The sequence below is a fragment of the Homo sapiens genome, chromosome 3, assembly GCF_000001405.40.
Source record: "Homo sapiens chromosome 3, GRCh38.p14 Primary Assembly".
Taxonomy (NCBI): Eukaryota; Metazoa; Chordata; class Mammalia; order Primates; family Hominidae; genus Homo; species Homo sapiens.
In genome coordinates, this window is record NC_000003.12 from 3,558,364 (window position 1) to 3,562,689 (window position 4,326).

Below are 4,326 nucleotides of genomic sequence, written 5' to 3' on the forward strand. Positions count from 1 at the left end.
CTCAGCCACACTGGTCTCCCTGTTACCCATGATGTGCTTCAAGTAGGACCTTTGTCTCAGGATCTCTGCTTTTTACATCTCTTGTCCTAGAATATTCTTTCCCAGATGTTCACATGGTCCAAAACCTGACCTTGCGCCCAGGTGATTCCTCAGATACCCATTCCCCAAGATGCTTTCCCTAACCTCTCTACAGAAAAGAGCACCTTTTTCTCTGCAACCTCACCAGCATCTGTTGTTTCTTGCCTTTTTAATAATCACCATTCTCACTGGCATGAGATGGTATCTCATTCTGGTTTCTATTTGCATTTCTCTGATGATCAGTGGGAAGGTGAATTAGTTCAACCACTATGGAACACAGCGTGGTGATTCCTCAAAGATCTAGAAGGAGAAATACCATTTGACCCAGCAATCCTGTTACTGGGTATATACCCAAAGAAATAGAAATAATTCTATTACAAAGATACATGCATGCGTATGTTCATTGTGGCACTATTCACAATAGCAAATACATGGAATCAACAAAAATGCCCATCAATGATAGACTGGATAAGGAAAATGTGGTACATATACACCATAGAATATTATGCAGCCATAAAAAGGAATGAGATCATGTCTTGTGCAGGAACATGGATGGAGCTGGAAGCCATTATCCTCAGCAAACTAAGGCAGGAACAGAAAACCAAATACTGCGTGTTCTCACTTGTAAGTGGGAGCTGAACAATGAGAACACATGGACACAGGGAGGGGAGCAACACATACTGGGGCCTGTCAGGAGTGGGGTTGGGGGAGGGAGAGCATTGGGAAAAATATCTAATGCAAGCTGGGCTTATTACCTAGGTGATGGGTTGACAGGTGCAGCAAACCACCATGGCACACATTTACCCACGTAACAAACCTGCACATCCTACATATGTACCCCAGAACTTAAAATTAAAATTATTAAAAGAAAAGAGCACCTTTTAACTCTACCCCCCAAGCTTTGCTGTGTTTCTTCAGGGCACTTATTAAAATATGACTTAGATACATGTGTATATTTGTTCATTTTCTCCCTCCCCATGAAGGCAGGGACCGAACATGTTTTGGTTCACTTCAATACACCCAGCATCTGTATCAGTGCCCAGAACCTAGAAAGAACTCATAAAACATTTGCTGAAAGATTTTAACAAGAACTTTAAAATATGTTTATGTTTATTCCAATTCAGGCACTGGATTAGGTGCTTTTTAACATGATTACCTCATTTCTTCTTCAGGGGAAGTCTCGTTTTTCTTAATTAAAAAACTTGAGGATAAGAAAAGTTAAGAAAAACACACAAAGTCAAATACATAATAAGTTCCAACACCATAATTAGAACCCAGGATTTTTTCATTCCCACACTCGTTTTTCCCTCTAACAGAACAGCCCTTTGACTTAGGTTCTTTTCTTGGGCAGAGTATAGAGGGGGAACACTCAGGGCGCTGGGCAACTTGGGTTTGTAATGGCCACCATAAAGCTCTGACTGTGAGCAAAACAATGACTATTCTTTGACCCTAGTTTTCTTGCCTGTAAAATAATTGGTTTGAACAACTTCATATTTAAGAACCCTGCAGAGCTTGAGAATTCTACTGTAGACAAGTCTGGACTTGTTCTATGTGGCCATAGACTGCAGAACCACCAGGGAAAAGATGACAAAGATCCACATTCAGGTCAACATGAAAATTCCATTTCTAACAAATGCAGCTTTCTGAAAGGTGGCCAGGCTTCCATGAGGGGTGGTCAGTCTCTATAGCTGTGAGGTTCAATCTCGTCTTCAGGGAATAGCCTGAAGAGCCTTCTTCCTTGCATTGGGGTTGAACTTGAAAACTTCTGAGTTCCCTACAGATTTTGTGATATTTTATTTTTCATAGACACTATGTTTGTTAAATAATTATGACTCTGCTTTGCCGGCCTGTCACAGCATAGAGAAACGACCTATCTCTATCTTGTCCTGAAATATAGGCCTCAGCAAACAATATGGAGTCATGGACCACAGGCATCCTGTGTTCTGCCATTGCAGGGAGGTAATTACCACAATGCCCCTTCATTCCACACTCTTCCTGGGCCAATCAGCTTCCCTCATGAGGAGAGGGCAGCCATTCAGCATTCAGATACTCTGAAGAACAAACTGACAGCTTGGATCCCAGCAGTTGGTTTGATTATCCCCTTAGAGAGAGTGTGCAGTTGAAGTCTCTCATGGAAAATAAGTCAAGGTGGGAGAAGATTCCAAGTTGTTTATTTATAAGTGAGAGCTTCATCTTCAAACAGCTTTGAGAGGAAGCCTGTCACTAAGGACTGAACTAAATTTTCCATTCCAAGACTTAATTCTCTTTAGGGCTTAACAGTCTTTCCTGCTGCTGCTATTTCCAGAAATAACCAAAATGCCTACAGAGTGATGTCAATGGCACCAGTGATCAGATAACAGCCTGCACTGTGAACTAACAGATGAAGCTTTTCTGTTAAATCTAAAACAAACTGCAGAAACCCTGAATACTTTTCTTTCGAATCAGCATGAAATGGACCATATATATATATATATAAAACTTATGCTCTAATTTTGCCTTGAATTGTTATTCTTTGGGCTAGGGTTTATAACCTCTTCGAGTCTACTCGAAAGTGGTGACATTTAAATGATGATGTCTTCTGTTCTCCAGAAATGCTGTTAGAAGCAAACTACAGCTTCAAAGAATTATTTCCCAAAGGCAAAATTGCTGCTGACACTATTTAAGAAATACTACTTGGGTTTGGCTCAGCACGGTTAAGTAGACACAAAGGAAGGGAATGTTTACCCAGCTCCAAAGGGACAGAAGGAAAGAGTACATCAGCACAGTTTTGTCTGTGGAATTCAGAGCACAGGTTGGGGCTTAGTATCAAAAATCTCATCCATGCATCAGTTCTTCAATCTGCCTTCTCTATTACTTTCCATAACTCTAATAAAGAGAGGAAATTTAGTCGCATGTCACATGATGTCTTGCCACACTTATATTGCTATCATTTCCTTTCTGAACCATTAAGCAAGTATTTTGACTTTTCCTCCTCTGGATGTATTAGTTTTCCTGTGCTGCTGTAACAGACCACCATATACTTAGTGGCTTAAAACAATACAAATTTACAATCTCATAGTTCTGTAGATCAGAAGTTGGTATGACTCTCACCAGGCTAAAACCAACAGGCTGGCAGGGCTGTGTTTCATTTTAGAGGGTCTAGGGGAGAATCTGTTTCCTTGCTCATTTAGGTTATAGGCAGAATTCATTTCCTTTCAATGTAGGACTGGGGTCTCTATCTTCTTAATGACTGACAACTGAGGTCCATTCCCAGCTTGCAGAAGTTGCCTATGTGTCTTGGCTTGTTACCCCTTCTTGAACATGCAAAGCCAGCAATGGCTGGTAGATCTGTTGTAACCTGGATTATGAGAATAATACTAAGGTAGTACTTGCATTGGATTAGAGGACCCTCTAGGGAAAAAGGAGACTTTAAGACAGGGAGACTTCATTACCACTGGCAGTAAAAGGCCCTTAATTTACAAGAGCTAGTCAAATAGTCCTTGTGGAAACTCTAGGATTTGCAGTACAGATGTGTCTCAGGTCAAGGTCAGATCTATCCTATTTCAGTCTAGGCAGAAGTGCAATAAAAATAGAATAAATGTGGGAGTTTATAAAAAGCTACATTCAGCTAGATCTCTACAACCTATTTTTATGCCATATGTATATTAGCATTATCAGGAGAAATGCACTTTTAGATATAACATTATTTGTGAACACTAAAAGCTTTCATCAAAATATTTCCAATGACTTTGGAAATTTGTTGGTAAGGAGAAATATATGAACTATATTTGAACCTGAAGTTAACTTTATTTGCATTTCCATTTTCTTGTTTTACTCAACAAAGTGTTCCAGAGTTTCCAGCAAATGCCTTGTCATTATTGATTTTGAAGTAGGAAATGAATGTTTAAAAACTATAATTCTGGAAGAATAGTATATGTATATGTGTGTGTGTGTATATATATATATATATATATACACACACACACACACACACACACACACACACACACACACACACACACGGAGAGGGAGAGATGGACAATCTATACATAGGCCATATAGTATATGTATATATATATTCTAGATGCTGAGACTAATGCAAAGCTATCGATTCAGATTAGATTAAAACATAGGATATTAGTATGTATCTGTCCTTTAAGTTTCAATTTTGTCCAGTACATTGAAGTTAAACTTACCTTGCCTTGAAACAAACTAAAGGAAATAAAGATGAGTACCTTATGAGGCTTACATTGACCACTGCGAAAAGAG

At 39.3% G+C, this 4,326-nt stretch overlaps 1 annotated feature.

The window, feature by feature from the left end:
• Positions 701-1,900: an enhancer, noted in NCBI's record as "MED14-independent group 3 enhancer chr3:3600748-3601947 (GRCh37/hg19 assembly coordinates)". NCBI's record gives its function as "activates an origin of replication core promoter dependent on BRD2, BRD4, P300/CBP and CDK7 cofactors, and independent of MED14, by STARR-seq in HCT116 cells {active_cell/tissue: HCT116}" and the evidence as "EXISTENCE:reporter gene assay evidence [ECO:0000049][PMID:35650434]".